General features: G+C 36.7%; 1 long non-coding RNA gene across 1 annotated transcript in view, besides 1 other annotated feature; it reads left to right on the plus strand.

Annotated features, from left to right (window-relative positions):
• LOC100506207 (uncharacterized) overlaps positions 1-18,473 on the plus strand; it is a 349,823-nt gene that overhangs the window by 279,359 nt on the left and 51,991 nt on the right. The gene's annotated exons all lie outside the window — the stretch shown is intronic.
• Positions 6,850-7,019: an enhancer, noted in NCBI's record as "experimental_96748 CRE fragment used in MPRA reporter constructs". NCBI's record gives its function as "activates a minimal promoter by MPRAs in K562 erythroleukemia cells, with activity observed for both the introgressed and non-introgressed 6:8722149 variant alleles {active_cell/tissue: K562}" and the evidence as "EXISTENCE:reporter gene assay evidence [ECO:0000049][PMID:34662402]".

The following is an 18,473-nucleotide window of genomic DNA, read 5'->3' on the forward strand; positions in this document are numbered from 1 at the left end:
CTGATGTTATTAAAGAATGTGGACACCTCAGAGAAGGTGACGCTCGACAGCCTTCTGTTCTCCATCTGCACTGTTGGATGTAGAACTCAGGATTCCCTGAGCAGACTCCAGATCAAATGCTGGTAGTGATTTTCTTTCTCTTGTGGTAGAGGGTGAGAGCTCAACAGTTACACAGCCAGAGAGATGGACTGCTCTCATGGTTTAAAGCTGACTTAGGGAAGGTCCCATCTTCTTTAGTACTCTAGGGGAAGCTCTGTTAGATCATCGTTCACGGATTTCTTGACATGAAAACTCAATTTTTATGTGAAGAAATTGTGGATTCTTAATGTCTTCCTTCTGAAATTCCAATCAGGATACACAGAGGAAAAATAGACCTTTGATTTTTAAGATTAAAAAAATAAAGAAGACATCTATTTGGAATAATAGGTTTCATGTTTAATAGCAGAAATTATAAGCTGTTTTGTCATTAAAGCAATGGGTTTATGGCGGGGTGATTGCACTGAAGGTTTATGGGTGGAGTTGTGAAAAAACTTACACTGTGCAGGTAAATTATAAAATCAGCAATCTTTTAAAGTATATATTTTTCTGAGTAGTATTTCTACAAATATAATATTTACTCCTCGGTTCCTACAAATTATCTGCGTCATCTTTTAGATGTCAGATGAGTATTTGGAGGCCTAATGCTTGGCTTTTTATTCCAGAAGTGACTGGTAATAGGTTTCCCATCTTCCTTTGGGGTGAAGGGGACACTCTTTCATGAGTATAGTTTCTCTAAAGTTCAAAATTGTTTGTGAATGTTGTAGTGGCTAGAGAAGTGGGCATGGATTCAGTACGTAGAGGCCCCAATGTCCTCTCTGCCACTAAAGTCACTGTGACAGGATATAAATCATTACCTCTCTGAGCTGGTTTTTTTAGTCAGTTGAAATTTAAAGTGGACCTCGACGGCTCTTAATCTCCCTGCAAATTCTAACATGAATATTTTTATATTGACAATATTTTTTTCTTAAGGCAGGAAAGCCACTCCTTGGGAATAGAGTATATTATATGGCATTTAAAAAAAGAATGAAAGAATGTGCCTATGCCTAGGTAAAATTTCAAGCAAATAATGCCTTTCCAAGTAGCAAAGTAATAACAAAATAGCCTGTCTTTGGAAATACATTTTCACAAGATCTTTTTGGTTTATTTTGTGGATTTTTAATAAATACCTTTTTAAGAAAACATACTGGTAAAGGAATTGGAGAAAAGCTAATGTCCTTTCAGGACATGTTATTTGTCAAAATTATGATTGAGACTTGACAGTTTCCTAACATTTTCTCTTTTAGCTTCTTTTAGAGAGTTTTATTTGCTAGTTTATTTTAGGTTTATTCTCCTAGATTGTTCATCCCAGAGAGGAAAAAATGAAAAGGAATAGATAACTATCTAGACAAAAAGCTCCCCCTTGCCCTCCTAAATGTTGTAATAGTTTCTCATATCCTCTAACTTTTTCAAATATGCCTTTGATTTTTATACCAGCAGTCTATCCTGAACCTCTCATTTTTTTCCCACTCTGACACTGAAAGCATCATTTGCTATTAGTGGACACAGAGTCCCTCTTACTTACTCTTGGAAGAAGCTACAGTACAAGGGTTTAAGCAAACACATGTATTAGGCTGTGTATGGTTTGGAAGTAACTAACAAGCACAGGCCTCCCACAGTTTTCCCTGGGAACCTTTTCTGAACTTCCTCTGTGGCTTCGTTTCCTCTTCACTTAAGTCAAGGCTCTTTCTATTCCCAACTCCCCTGCTCCTCTTTGGTAGTAAATTGTCACTCAGGTGCATGCTCTCATTTGCAAAACCAGAGGGTCACTTGTACGTTGTGATATGTTTGAATCACCTGGTGTTCTGTCATCATTATCTCATGTTGGCACTAACGCCCCTTTTCTCTGCCTTAACTCTCCTTAATTTACTCAGAGTCCAAATTCCTGCTCACTGCATCTGTTTTCACTACTTCGAAAAGAACAAAGTGCTAGTTCTGATCCCCATAGGGGTCAATTACCTTCCCCGTGCTCACCATCACATATTTCATCTCCAACCTAAGCTGCCATTGAACAACGTGGGTTGTTCAAGTCACAGTTAAGGGAAGAAGGAACGGTAGATTGGAGTGAGAGAGAAGGCAAATATTTTGAATAGACTTGTACAAATCCATCAGTGCACCTGGAAAAACTGCACAGAAGAATAGACAGAGCAGAGGTATTAGAATTAGAAACTAGCCTTCAAATCTAGGCTTTGTGGCATATTCACTGTTTGTCCTTAGGAGGTTGCATAACCTCTATACACCCAATTTCTTTATATATACAATGTAGACAATGATGACAATCTTATTGGATTGTTGTAAGGAAAAAAGATAATAGATAATATATTCAAAGTGCCTGGCACTTGAGAGAGAGAAGCCCTACATAAATCAGAGTGATTAGTTTCACTAACACTGCAGTAGCACAGCCTTCAATGTAACTTGACAATTATCCATTGAACAACACCTAGATACTCTAATCTGTGTATTAGAGTTGATAGAGTGTATAAAAGGTATAAATTGCAACTGTTTTTTTTAACCGTCACCTCATCTTCAGCTTTGCCTCCTGAATAATATCCAATACTTTAGCAAGATATTCAAAGTTCTTTAAACTTATCCTCAGCCAATTATTTTTTCAGACTTCCTCTTTTCCCCCTTGCTTCTGCAGTCTGCCTTCTTGACAAACCAGGGGGCTCACATCCATATACCCTCTTGAGTTTCCTTCAGCTGAAGACACCAGGATGAGGCAAATGCTACTCGTTTAAAGATCTAACATAAATGTAACTTTCCCTGTGGAGTCTTTCTGGACCCGGCCTTCTACCCTGCCCTCACAGGAAGGGTGATTTATATAAAGCACAGCATGGAAAGCCCTTCATACATATTGCTCCCCTGTTTTTATCTCCCTTACCTTTCTTGTCTTTCTTACCTGTCAATGTTGTAAGTCTCAGCTAGCAAGACCACTCCTCCTTCTCCTCCCCCTCCTCCTCCTCCTCCTTCTTCTTCTTTTTTTTTTTAATTTTGAAACGGAGTCTCGCTTTGTTGCCCAGGCTGGAGGCTGGAGAACAGTGGCGCGATCTCGGCTCACTGCAACCTCCACCTCCCGGGTTCAAGCCATTCTCCTGCCTCAGCCTCCTGAGTAGCTGGGACTACAGGCGCATGCCGCCACAGCTAATTTTTGTATTTTTAGTAGAGACGGGGTTTCTCCATGTTGGTCAGGCTGATCCCCAACTCCTGATCTCGTGATCCGCCTGCCTCGGCCTCCCAAAGTGCTGGGATTACAGGTGTGAGCCACTGCGCCTGGCCAACCTCTCCTTTAGCAGAGGGAGCAAGAAGAGAATTCGAGCTCCACTACTTATCAGCTATATGCCCTGGACAAGTCGGGAATCTGTTTTTACACCTGTAAATGGGGGTTGTCAATAACTTGTGGAACTGAGCAGATGTGTATAAAGCACCTGGCACATAATGGGACATTGCTTTTTAAATATGATAGTGGCACTTCTACCTGGATTTATGCATGGTTGTGTAAGTGACTGTCACTAGATTTGAGTTCATCAAGGCCAGGGACAACCCTCAAGTATCACTGGATCTCCATTATGATAACAATGCCTAATTACTATTGATTAAATGCACACATGCCTTCATGTCTTTCCTTCTTTTCTCCAGAAATACTGCTCCTCACTGAGGTGGCTCCAGCTGATGTCTGGGTTTCTGTGTGCCTACTTTTCTAATCTCAGGACACCTGCTGTTACTTTTACATAGTTGGTGGCTCTCAATGGTTCTTAAAATTAAAGAGAGAATTTTAAACATCCATAGTTTCTTTCACTTTTCTCCCTTTCCTCCACTAAAAGAGACCTTCCTTTTGGTTCTCTAAGCAGGGTTCATATATTTAACTACATGTCTCTCATGTCACAGAAAACTAAAGTTTTTGTGCAAGCTAAATAATAGGCTTCAATGGAGCAATGTAATTCCAAATAAAGGAAAAAGCCGAATGATTGATTACTTTAGTTTACCATGATCGAAATTAAAGTTCTGAAATAAGATTTGAGCAAAATAAAAAAGACTGCTTTTTGCATTCTGGCTTGGGGAGTTTTATGGTGCTGCTTTGGCTTTTATTTATTTATTAATTTTGAGTGTTAGAGACAATTTTATTAATTTTTTATTTTCTTATTTCCATGGATTATTGGGGGAAGAGGTGGTGTTTGGTTACATGAGTAGGTGCTTTGGCTTTTCAAAGAGGATGGTCACTAATCGAGTGAGAGAATGTGCCAATGAGGACACAAGCAACACATTTGATTAAAAAAATCAAGTATGCTTTCAAAAGATACTAAATGCAGAGTTTGTCTCTACGTCTGACTTGCTCGCGCACTTGAATGGGTTCACACATTTTGGGAGTCAGAATGTCTTCCTGGTGAGTGGAAGCTTACCAGGAAGCTCTAAAAACCTCTGATAGTTTTCACTTGTCTGTTTTTTTGTCAGAGGACTTGAGTTGATTCAATTAATTATGCCCCCCCTCTGAGTTCCATTTTCATCTGAACCCACATGGCAAAGCTGTAAATGATACGTGCAAATAAGAATTCATCTCCGGGGAAAGCCTTCTTACAGGAATGCCTGCTCCCACTTTGTGGGATGCCAACAGTGTGCTGGGTTTCAGGGCTACTACCCCAAGAAAGGAGTTCATCTTGCCTTTTCTCCTTTCAATACATTATATTTTATGTGCATTCGAAGAATAAGGTGAGGCTGTGAAAAAGACATTTCTATTAAAACTAAAATGATAGCTCATTTATTTTATGAATTTTCTTCCATCCTAATAATGTTGAGGGATATATCTTATTGTCTTTACTTTCACCTAGGTATCATCAAAACTCAAGCAAACATCATTCACTCAGCTCAAATCTTTCTAGCTTGTTGTTACATTTCAATTAAACTTATATTTCACAAAAATGAGAATGGAGTGGATTTAACCTCCAGAATGACTCATTTTTCTCTATGGAGATATATTTTTCAAAATTCAAATAAAATATTACACTTGTTTTATAAACAAAGAAAATTGAATGCCAAGCCAATGTTTTTTATATGGTTCATGAGACTTTAATTTTTGGTTTTAGGCAGCACATGTGATCATGACAGAGAGCCTCCTGAGATTCAGTTTGCTTTTGATTTATGAATTTTCTAACTGAAATACCATGGTCATGTAGATATTTTGCTGGGGCCCAGTCTTTCTAAGGAATCAATTTAGAGTTGTCAGTAAATCTTAGGTAGAAAGTGTTTCAATGCACAGTACGTGTTGTAATGAGCTCTGGGACAGGCAAACTGAGGCTCAAACCCAGCTCTATTCCTTGGGAACTCTGCAACCTTAGCCAAGTTTCTTCTCATTTCTGTGTAAATAGGTGTCCTGATGCCTACAGTGCAGGGTGATTTTGAGAATCAGATATTTGACAGTATGCAAAGATCCTCACATTGTGCCTGGCATGTAACGGGATGCAATTGCTGTGTCATAGTGTGGTCCCTGGACCAACAGCTTGCGCGTCACCTGGGAAATGGTGAGAAATGCAAATTCTCAGCCTTACCCCAGAGGTATTGAATCAGAAATCTGCAACTGGGGCCCCAAAACTCATATTTTAAGAAGTCTTCTAGGTGATTCTAATGCCCGCTCAGGTTTGAGAAACTGCCAGAGTGTCTTATAAATTAAAAAACAACATTTACTGACTCAGCTCAATAGCAATTTAGAATTATCCTAGAAACTTAGTACGTAAGGTGGCTCATACTTATTTTAAACATAACGAGAAGGACAATCTTCCTTATAAATATAAAATCTTCAGATACAGATAAAATGACTGAAAATTGTTGATAGTTTATTATTTTTCTATGGCTGATAAAAGGTGCAGTATACCAATTATCTTATTTAATCCTCAAGACAACCTCAAGGAAGAGTTGCTATTAGCAGCCATACCTTACTAAGCAAGTAATTTGGACTACAGAGGACAACTGAACAAAAGTGATAGAGGTGGGCCTTCCATTCTAACAAATTTCAGAAATTTAATGCGTAATCCCTAATAGAAAAATAGTCTATGAAATCAAAATGACCGTAGAAGTCTTCTTAATTTTGATGAGATTACTAAACAGATACAATTTCATTCCAATTTTTAAGAAAGTGCTAGACTTCCCCAAAAAGTCTATGAAAAGAGCTTTCCTCCCTATTCTGGGTCATAGCAAAGTTTTTCACCTTCTTTCTGGAATTTATCACAACCTGTATCATTTATGAGTGTTTACACACACACATACACAAATACAAACATATATATTGCTAGAAACTTCATGAGGGCAGAAGTCATATTTGCCTTCTGTTCTAAACATGTAGCCCAATGTTTAGAACAATGCCTGGAACATTACTTGAACTCAAAAATTATTAGTTTAATATAATAAATGAATGAGCAAATCTCTACTGGTGCTGGTAAAAATTTCAGAGACTCACGGCTTTGGAAAACAGTCTTTTCTTTAGTCCTGTTAAACTGAAGAAACTGGCTGAATCTCTATTTAGAAAGCAGATAGATTCATTTTAGTAGCTTTAACATTAACATGGCCAACACACCCACAAGTCATGAGATCAATGTGACATTCATTCAGCCATTAATCATAGAGACATACGTTTTGAAGTTGAAAAGGACCTTGGAGAACATCTAATCTCTCCTTGTGCAGATTGGGAATTTAGGCCCAGGGGTTAAGTGGTTTGTTCAAGGTTAAATGCTGATCAGGCGCTAGGCTGGAAGTGATGCTGGAAATCAAGGTCGGCTGATTCTTGGCCCATCACTTTTCTCACTCTAGACTGTCTTCATTAAGTGTACTGGCCCTGAGTGCATATGGGCATGTAATATCTAAACTGCAGTCGCACCCTGGATCCTTCTATAATGCCATGCTTAATGTGAGTGACAAATGCAAGTGGAATTTTCTTTTAAATTGGCTTTGCCACTAACAATCTATGTAGTCTTCAGCAAATTACTTTAACATCATTGTACCTCAGTTTCTTCATATCTAAATTTTGAAAAAATAATAGTTTCTACTTCACAGGATTGTGAGGATTAAAGGAGATGAATTGTGTAAGGGGTTTAGAATGGTTCCTAACATGTAGTAAGCTCTCTGTAAGCGTTAACAATTCTTACTAATATTATCTTGGGTAGGAAAGTTTGCTATGGGATATTTTCTTCTGAGTTGGAGTGATAAACAGATAAAAAGTGTAACTGTGGCTAACAGTGAGTTTTCATAGAATTCAGATAAGCAAGATTTTCCCAATTTCTGCCTGTGACTAGATGAGCAGGCAGTATTCTTTCTTGCTTTTTAGTCCCATTTGACTCTTAGAACTGGGACTATCAGTTCATATTATTTATTGAAAGTTTCGTATTTGAGAAAATTTGACTAAGCACAGCAGAGCAGGGTACATAGAGTGACCTAAATTCTTACCAACAGTTTTGGATTATAAGCACAAATTCCATTTGAAATATGCAATCCACAAACAAGAAATCCATGTGGTTGAAGTTATATGGTTGATACCTGAAGAAGAGAAGTTCAGAGTCTTTTACTTAAGTATGCAGTTTATGATGAGGAAAACAAATGAAGGTGAATCTTGTTTGAGAACAAAAGACATGTTTCTGAACATTTATAGAAATTAAATCTCAAAAATTCAGATTTAGGTATTGCTGTAAATTTGTTTATTTACTAAAAAAATCACAGTGGAAATACATTATAGTTTTCTTTCTATTCTAGAACTAAATCTACTTTAATTTGATTGAACGATGAGGAAAATACCTTATATGGAACATTGTATATAGGGCATAGTGGCTCATGCCTGTAATTCCAGCACTTTGAGAGGCTAAGGTAGGAGGATAGTTTGGGGACAGGAGTTCAAGACCAGCCTAGGCAGCATAGTGAGACTCCAACTCTGGGAAAACAAAAATAACTTTGTATATAATATACAGTATATATAGCATACATAGTGTACATATATTGTGTATATACATACCTGTCTACATATACACACATATAAACAAACATATATACATATATAGGCACATATGTACACATGTTTATATTTGTGTCACATTTAAAATGCATCTATGCCCATTACAAAATAAAATTGTAAACTGAGCTGAGACAATGAGTTCATGTCATTCACTGATCGCTATGCATTTAGATTTACAGCAAACATAATAGATTGATCGAGTCAAATTGGTAGGAAACAGGCTAAGGCACTGTGGTGGCATTTGCCACTGCCATTATATTCTTCTAATTAGGGGATTGTAACTACTTAAGCCATTTACAAGATGGTCAGTAAGAGCATTCACATGAGAGGAACTTGGTACACAATGGAAAATGTATTTGGAACACAGAATGTTTGGTTAGAATCTGGCATTATTCTTTTGCTTTTAAAAACAAAGAGACATAAAAACCAATTTCTCTTGTTTGTCATAGGATTTCTTTCTGCGTAATTCTATGTAAATCTGACTTCTTTTTGGGGACCCCCCAAATGCACACTTACTTCTTATAGGCATATCTTGTTTACATTCCAAAACAGAGAAAAGGCCTGTGTTGAAGGCTGCACTAGCACAAAGTGGAAACTTCAAAACTGCCTCTGAAGCTTCCATTAGAAGACGGAAATTGTCAATTATCCATAATTAATATTTACTGAGGACTCAAGGGGACTTAGCAGCTATGAGAGGATGTCAAACACTCCCACAAAAAGTTATGTTATTTCAAGTTAAATATAGATTTTCCTGCACAGTTTTCCCACTAGTACCATATTTTTTCATTCCTTTAGAAATCTAGTTATATATTTTTAAAGAAGGGTTAACTGTATAGTCTTTAACTTGTTTCTTTTTTACTTCTCCCCGCGGCAAAAAGAAGCAAGGACAACAAAAATAAAAGTTTTTATGATCCTGCTGAATCAAGGTACTAAAACATGAGTTAAATGAAGAGGCGTGGTGGTTTTAATGAAGAAAAATAAAACAATTTAAGCGTTGCCAGGTGGAAAATGAAACAATCTCTTTATATGGAATGTGTAGAAAGGGATGAGGCACAGGGATGTTTTGGAAGGCAGTTTCCAATGTCAGGAATTTTTTGCCATGGTCTTTGATCTGCAGGCCAATTTCAGTCTTGGTCTAAAAGAAAAAATGAAGAGGAAAACTATTACTTGCTTTAATGAAAAAAGTCTCAGTGAACCAAGACTGACTATGGAAAAACAGCCAGGAGAAAGGATGCTGATTCAAATAAACAAAACTTAAAACCAAAAATCGGAATGAAACTAAAATCTCCCAAACACACATACACACACACACACACACACATATCCCCCAATTCCCAGACATCACCACCACCAATTGCTTAATATGCTGTCCATACACAACTATATTATTATTTAGTATCCTCTGGCTACAATTTCTTTTTAGTGAGTAGTACTTCTCTTTCTTTCCAGGCTTAAGACATTAGTGCTATCTGATAACTTTATTATCTACATAATTCAGCTTCTAAAATTATGTGAACAATCACATGCCTAGGAAACATGGCCCATAGTAATTGATGTTTTTCATTGTCACTCTGCTGGTAGAATGTATTCTGATTTTGTTGCATGGACTGGCTTTTACAAGTAAAAACCACATTGATATTAAAGAAAAAGTGGCAGGAATGTTGTTGCCTCTCTTTGGTGCCCTGCCACAGACAAAGCTGACTTGGGCGGCTGTGTCTATATCCCAGATATATGGAATTCTGGATAAAACAGGGCTTGTTTAAAACAAAACAAAGCAAAATATTTGGCTAAGCTCAAAAACAGGAAAAGGGAAATCTTGAGTTGCCAGAAAAAGAAATGCAGAGTCACGGAATTGAACCACAGCCTGCCTGGGGTGTTTCAGGGCTTTCAGGCTGGATATTTTTCTTAGGTGTTTGGGTTTCCGTACCAATGGGTCTAAGACACTGTGGGATGTGGAAGTGTTGTTTTATCTTTTAACCTGGATAAAACCACTACCAAATCTAATGTCTAAGGGAGTCTCCTGGAAGCCATGCACCCACCCTTAGTTATAGATAGAAACAGAAGCCCTTGTGAGAAACTAGAATTCCATGCTACTGTGAATACAGGTAAAAAAGTTCTATAAAATGGACAAGAAACTGATACCATAAAACTGACACATCACCCTAAGCTAAAACTGAAAACCAAATGCAACCAACAGGAAAATCCTCTTGAGACTGCAGATAATAGAAAAATCTGAAAAAGAACTTAAATGGTAATGTTTAGAATTTTCATAGATGAAGAAATGGATTGTATCTCTGTTACAGAAACAAAGAAAGCAGATTGGAAAGTGAAACAAATATAAATTTTAAGAGTGAATTTAAAATTAAAAACTTAAGTGAAAAATATATTAGATATATTTCTACCAATTCTGAAATTAGATATATCGCAAAGGGTGTGGGTAGGGGAAGTAGAAAGCAAACTACTATTTAGTGAAGAGTAACTTAAACCCAATGAACCAACAGTTTTTCAGTTGAGGGCTTTCTCCTTAATTTCTTATGAAGCCATTTAGGCAACAAACTTATCTAAAGTATTTATTTCCTTTACATCCTTCAAATTCTAAAAATAATGATTGATTTGCAAACTTTAACTCATAGCATTATTTTATTGTTTGTTTTATTTATTTTTATTTTTTTTGAGACGGAGTTTCTCTCTGTCACCCAGGCTGGAGTGCAATGGCGCGATCTCGGCTCGCTGCAACCTCCGCCTCCCAGGCTCAAGAGATTCTCCAGCCTCAGCCCCCTGAGTAGCTGGGATTACAGGCACCCGCCACCATGCCCGGCTAATTTTGTATTATTAGTAGAGACGGGGTGTCACCACGTTGGTCAGGGTCGTCCTTCTGTCTTGATCTTGTCTGAGAACTGAGCATGATTTCTTTCATTCTACAATGCCATAAAAACATACTCAAGAGCTTTTTGCTCATAAATTCTTCAGGCGTTGTTTGCCCGTTATTTTCTAAGAAGAGAACCGAAATAACACAAATCCTACTCTGCGTATCCTTATTCTATTGTGCCCATTTTTATAGAAAAGGTTTCTGCATTACCCACATTCAGATCTCTATTGCAATCGATGTTAAACACGTCACTCTAAAATAGCTAGACTGTAGGCAATTTCGTTTTCCCGGCTATTTTTCTGTTTGTTGTTGTTTTTTCTTAAGGCACATACCAGCGGTCTGCTTTCACTTCTCTGAATATTCATTTAGCCCAGAGGTTCACTCTAAGCAGCCGTAATGCCACTTTCTCAAGACATCAATAAATCTGATATATTTTGAGTATTTATCTCACAGGCAATAAATATCGTTACACAAACTACATTTCATGAATTAGCTCAAATTACATTTGGGCTGCTTCGGAGCTGCAGAGAAAGGTGCTAAACATTTGATACAACACAAAATTATATTTAACTTCAAGGGAGAACAAAACTTCTGATTCTCTCATTAAAAGTAAAGGTGAAAAATCTGTTTTTTTCTTTTTTTAAATCAAGTCGTTTATTTTCATTTATCTGTCATTTTTATTAAAGGACTTCATAGTGATGTATGTTTCCTGAAGTTTAGGTGTAAATTAAAATGAGTCTATGTGTGTAAAAGTGTATGATTCATCTTGTAGATGGCTTATTGCCCACTGTTGGTTATGAACTATTAAAAAGAAAGTGAAAAATTGGGAAACGTTGGTGCAAGCTTGACTTTGGCACACTTTACCTCGCTTCCTTTTATCTGTCTTCTCTTTTGCTTATGGGGGTGTTTTCTGTTTCACCACAGAACACTTCAGTTGGTGATACTGGAATAGTGAATTTGCCTGCTAGGTGGAAATTTAAAACTTGCTGTCATTATGCTTTGCTTCACTGCGGAAGAGCTTCACAGTTTTTCCCCACCAACTTTTTCAGTATATGACCGCCAAGGTTGTATTGTGAGACATTCTCTTCAGAATAAAATTTAGCCTCTGAATCTGGGGGAGGTGAGCACTATGTTGTTTAGCCAATTTACTGAATTTTCTTGTTTTTCTTTTCCTGATATCTGGAGCCCTCAAACCAAAACATTAGCCAGCAGGCATTTCCCAGAGAACAGGAATTCAAAAAGGAGTTCTCCGTGATGTAGTGTGTGCTCTTTGCAATTCGTAGGACTTTTATAATCAATATTTTCCTTCCTCTTTCACGATGACACTCAAATAGAATGACAGTAATGAACTAGCAAACTTGGATATGAGACTACCATGTCCTTCTAAACTCCATAAAAAGTAAACATAAAAATCTTAATTGATTTTACTGCAGTTCAGTCAAATTGCACGTTGTGTTTTTTTTTCCAATAAAGTAATGAAAATTTGTTGAATGTCTACTGGGTGAAAAGCACTGTGCTTGTTGCTGAAGAGGAATCCCAGCACACGTTACGTGTGGTCCTATGTACATCAGCTTTGCTGGATGTAGGGGCCTCTGCATTTTACTCTGTGTCTATGATTGAGAAAGTCATTCTACTCTGGGAACAATAAGCTCGTCATTTGGGTATGAGACTTTAATTATCTAATTGAAGAGCTCTGACTCAGAAAGCAGATATCCATAGTGGGGATAGCTGTAGGTTCCGACCGTCTTTAGCATCCTTGCCCGTCATTTTAAGAAAACAGTGATGAGCAAAACCTGCAATCAGAGGTGTTTACAAATGGCCATTGAGAAGATTGAATGCTATTGTGAAGAAGTCTTTGGGGACCCTGGGCACAGGCTCTTGCTGACTTTTTTTTCTGGTATAATTATGACACTATTATTATTGAATTATTATTGATATAGTGATACCAATGTTATATCTGGTACAATTGAATATAATTAGTATTGACTTAATTATTATTCAACTGGCTAGTATTTATTCTTTTTCTATTGTGTGAAAGAGTTTATATAAGAATAGGCTTCTTTGCTTCTTAAATGTTTGGAAGAATTCACTGGTGAAGATTTCTCAGCCTGGGTATTTCCTTTGGGGAAATATCTTAATAACAGACTCAGTTTCTTTTGTAGATACAAGCCTATTCAGATTTGGTATTTCTTCTTGTGTTAGTTTCTTAGTTGAGTTTTTTCAGGAATCTGTCTATTTCATCAAAATTTTTTAATTTATTGGCACAGAGGATATTGGCACAGTATCCTACACTTTTAATACTTTAAAAAATATCCATAGGATTGCTATAATGACTTCTTTCTCATTTCTGGTATCCATGATATATTTCTTCTCTTTATGACTTCTTTTACTTTCATTAGACTTAAGCTGGTGTACACTTTTCTCCTTTAAGATATGAATATTTAGATCATTGATTTCAGCCTTTTCTTTGACTGTCATCTAAAATGCATGTATACATCTTGTAATATTAAAAATATAGTATTTATGTGCACATATTTATTAGATCTTTAAATAAGAAAAATAATGAAATATATTTATTCACATATTTGTTTATATATTCATTTATATATTTAAATGCTATTACTTAAAATATATAAATATATAAAATAATTATAAATATATATTTATTATATTTTTACATATATTTATGTCCGATATTTATATTTTATTCTGTTTTATGTATTTTATGCATACATCCACAATTATATAAATATTCATATAAAATGTTATAATATGTGCATACTTAAAATATATAACATATCAAAACTTGTGTTAGACAAGGGAAACATTTATTTTCAGTCAGTCAGGAACTGAGCTGCTCTGGGTCAGGCTGCGATTTTTGTCAGCCTGCTCCTAACTCATGTCCATACTGCTCCAAGGGTTAGTCCCCAGAGATTGGGGGTGTTTACTCAAATCCCCAACTCCTTGGTGGGTTCTGAACTGCAATATTTATTTCCTAGGCCCTGTAAAACTGCTGAAAACTCTGTTTTAATTTTCAGAGTCTCAGCTTAGCTTCTTAACCTCTTGCTTCACAGTTAAAGAATTTGGTGAAGACCTTGACCTTGAGCTCACTTGTTCATCCTCCCCTTTTCTACAGGATGTAAGCTGCCTTGAGGCCCTGAATTCAATTTTTGTCTCTCCATTCCTGTGAAGCTGAGACACTCAGCTGGCCTATTGGCCTCCTGGCCCAGGTCTTGACCTCAAATTTTTCACCTTTTACCTAATGCCAAGAATCAGCAACTGCTCCAAGGAAAAAATGGGTCTAAGAAGTAGGCTCATCTCTCCTTGGTTCTCCTTTCTACAACATCTTGGCCCCTCAATTCCTGGTTGTCTTGGCGGCTTTGTGCTGCTTTCAAACTTATAACTTTGTGTTTTATCTGACTTTTCTCATTGTTTTTGACAGGGGTTTCATTGTACTCCTGTGTACTCAACATAGCCAGGAGTGGAAATCCTGGCATGAGTAACAGAATTTTTCACTCAGCATTTCTGTGTGGTATTTACAGTGCTAAGGTCTCTTTTTAATTAACAGAAGATAATTTTATTGTCTTGTAATTATAATTTGGATTAATATTGTATTATACATAATAGTAAACATGCATTCTCTAAGTGTATAAATAAAGGGTTAGAAAATTTATTTGTGGGTAGATTTCAAAAATATAATACACTCTCACACTTATAAGTCCAAATCTGTGTTTATGAAAGCATTCTAGCTACAGAACTAATTTTATGAAACTAATTTTTGTTCACAATCCATATATATACTTTTTATTTTGGGTTTTTATTATTGTCAAAACAATATTATTATTAACAAGTCCTATTTCTATTCCAGCATCACTTTCAATAAGAAATGTAGTTCAATATGGCAATGTAGTATATTAGTTTATATATAAACCAGTACCCATTAGAGACATTGATGTACAAATTATTTATTCATGCTATTTTAAAATGACAGAATATAAATAATGAAATATTTACTTCAATCACTGATTTTTAGTATAATAATTCATTAAATATACCTCACCTGTATAAATGGGGTATCTTTTAAAGGCTCGTTGACAAATGTTGAGGTCTCCAGAAAAGTGATAATGTTAAATCAATCAGATTTTCAAGCCAATTGGATATGAACCTAGAATTTGGAGGTAAGACTGATGGACAAAGATTAAATAGCTCTGTGTTAATCAGCCAGTAGCAAAAGCCCTGCTGCCTTTGAAAAATATTGATTAAAGCTGATTGATGGACTTCATGGATGGAAAGAGAAACAGATTATGGGAACTGGATAGATCAACTCATGAAGCTAGGCTCATTCATTAGGGAGACGTAAATAAAGTCATACTATTTATACATGCTGTCTGATTCGCTTCAAATATGTTTTCAATAGTTTTCTATCTACATTGTGCTGAAAACATATATGCTGAAATAATATCTTTATGCACAGAAAATAGAAAAAGGGGAAGATAATTGCGCAGTTGTTCCTTTAAGCCAATTAAATTCCACCAGAGGGAGATACCTCTTTGTGCTCCCAGATGCTTGCCCTGTGTGTTCATTCATCAACATAGAGCTCTTAGTTTTGCCATTTCATATGACATCAATGGGGAAACTGCAAGTAATTTAACTATTAATATAGCTGCCATAGCATTTCAAGTACAGACAACACATTATTATTACGTATACACTAAATCAATCAATATAGATCTATTATGGAGCATGTATGGACAGAACGTTGCACAGACACTGGGGAAAATACAAAAGAGGATCTTAAAGCCTACTGTGTCCACTAGGAACCTGTGCATACTCTGCATTCATACCAAAACCCCATCTTGGCTCTTAAGACTCTTAGGGAAATTAGAGCCTAAACTTGAGATTTGAATACTTGGTTCTACCTGTCCTTTCTCTCCAACATATGACGCCATTTTCCATTGCCAAAGAGAAGCAGAGCACTGAGGTCATTAAATTCAATCGTATCTAAATCGCACAGTCTGATAAATCACAGGGCCCATTTTTTTTTTGCCTCATATGTTCATTAAAGGTCTGACCACAAGGTGATGTTTAGAAGAGTGACAGAAATGAGTTTCTTTCTTTTCTTTTTTTTAATTTCTTTGCAAAATTACTACATATATATATAGTTGAATTCAATTTCATATATAATGAGCAACTGAGGCTTATCACAAGAATGCAAGGTTGATGAAACCTTTGAAAATTAATTTATATAATTCACCATGACAGACTTAAAGAAATAAAATGAAAAGCAAAACATATGACCATTTTAATAGATGCAGAAAAAGTATTCGACAAAATCTAATATACATTTCTCATGAAAACTCTATGACTAGAGGAGAACTTTTTCAATTTGATCAAGGGCATCTACAGCCAACATTAAACTTAAGAGTTAATTAGTTAACATGTTTCCCTAAAATCAGGAAGAAAGCAAGGATGTCTGCTCCCACTACTTCTATTCAACATAGAACTGGAGGTTCTAGTCATGCAATACAGCAAAGAAAAGATATAAAAGACACCTAATTTGTAAAGAAAACAAACTGTCTCTATTCACAGTTGATGTAATCATCTATCTTATGAATCTACATAAAAATATTAGAACTAATAAGTGTACGTATCAGATCATTATTCAAAAGTTTATTGTATTTCTTTTTTTTTTTTTGAAGTTGCAGAACCATTTATTACCTTGCATGCTATCACAGACCTTTTTTCTCAGTTCATTAGAAGCAAGTAGCTTGTTCTCAGCCACGGTCAAAGGGAGGGAAATTACACTCCACCTCTTTTTTTTTTAATTTTTTAAATTATACTTTAAGTTCTGGGATACATGTACAGAACATGCAGGTTTGCTACATAGGTATACACATGCCATGGTGGTTTGCTTCACTCTGATCAAAAGGAGAAAAGGAGGCTTTATAAGATCTTTCACTTTGTAAACAGATATGTACATGATGCAGTTTACTGACCTCCTCCATGACTGCTACTCTGTATAAATTTCCACTACTCACAAAGGGAAAAAATAGACCTCCTGTTTAGAAAGCTACTTTGGCTATTGTAAACTTGTGGTCTGGCTAGGCAAAAATTAGAAACACCGGAAGACAAGTTTCCTGAGCAGTAAGGAGGAGAGGCTTTTCTTGTCTCTTGCGTCTTATAGCACATCTAACTTCAGGATGAGCTGTGGGTGCAACCACTGGAGAGGTGCAGAAATCAGTCTTGTAATCAGCTCTTCCTTCTAATGCCTGCACAAGCCCTACTCATAGCAGTCTCTACAGCCATTCTCTACCTTTAGTTTCTTCTCAACACCCACCCCTTATACTTGTCCAGAGGAGAGGACTTAGGTCTGGGGGACCGCAGCTAGAAGGATTTCAGTGAAAGCAATGCTATTTATTATACTGATGTTTAAGAAGAGACAATGGCCTAGAAATCAGGGCCTGGAAAAGTAAATAATAAAGTTCAAGAATAGCATACTCATGTATGAGGCAGTTTTTGAGTCTGAGATGACATATTAGGTAAATAAAATTTGCATGAGTTTTCTTTGTTAATTCAAGTTGCTGGTGGCTGGCCAGCAAGTAAGTAGAAGTGTTAGGCAGAGGACAAGCTAGTTCAGGAAGTTTCTGTGGCAGGTGAGTTTGTAGTGGACTGAATGTTTGTGTTCCCCCCCACAAATTCATAGGTTGAAATCCTAACTCCCAATGTGATGGCACTAGGATGTGGGGCCTCTGGGAGATGACTAGCTCATGAGGATGGACTCCTCATGAATGAATATAATGCCCTTATTATAAAAGGGGCCCCAGAGAGCTCTCTTGCTTTCTTTCCACCATGGGAGGACATAGGAGGAGGATGTGATCTATGAACTAGGAAGCCCTCCCCAGACACTGGATCTGCAGATGCCTTGATCTGGACTTCTTAGCCTCCAGGATGGAGAAATGGATGTTGTTGTTTAACCTATCTACTGTGTAGTATTTTGTCATACCAACCCAAATGAAGTAAGACAGAGATATTTTTTAGAGACAGGGTCTCTCTATGTTACCCAGGCTGGTCTTGAATCAAACCCCTGGCCTTAAGATACTTTCATCTCAGCCTGTCAAGTAGCTGGGAATGTAGATGCGTGTCTGCAACATAATTTAAGATCAAATATTTACTGATTACTTTTTAATAAACACTTGAATGGAGCTTAATTGGTGCCATACTCTGTCATAAAAATGAAAAATATTAACTAATAACAACTCTAGGAGTTTGGTTCTGTTATTGTCCCTGTACTATACAGGGAGGAAACTGATAAATCAAGAGGTTGAGTGACTTCGCTGAGGCCCGTGACCAAAAAGTTGCAGGGCAGGGTCTTCACTAGGCAGGCTGTTGCTAACCTCCTTGTGCCCTGAAGCACTATGCTGCACCTCAAGAAGGGTCGCTTAACCAAAAATTAGGGGATAGGTTTTGCCTTCAATGAGAACAGAGACAACTTCTCCCAAGACTGGCCATTTTGGGAGCATTTGCTCAGCTTTGCGCTTGGGA

The sequence above is a fragment of the Homo sapiens genome, chromosome 6 (genome assembly GCF_000001405.40).
Source record: "Homo sapiens chromosome 6, GRCh38.p14 Primary Assembly".
NCBI lineage: Eukaryota > Metazoa > Chordata > Mammalia > Primates > Hominidae > Homo > Homo sapiens.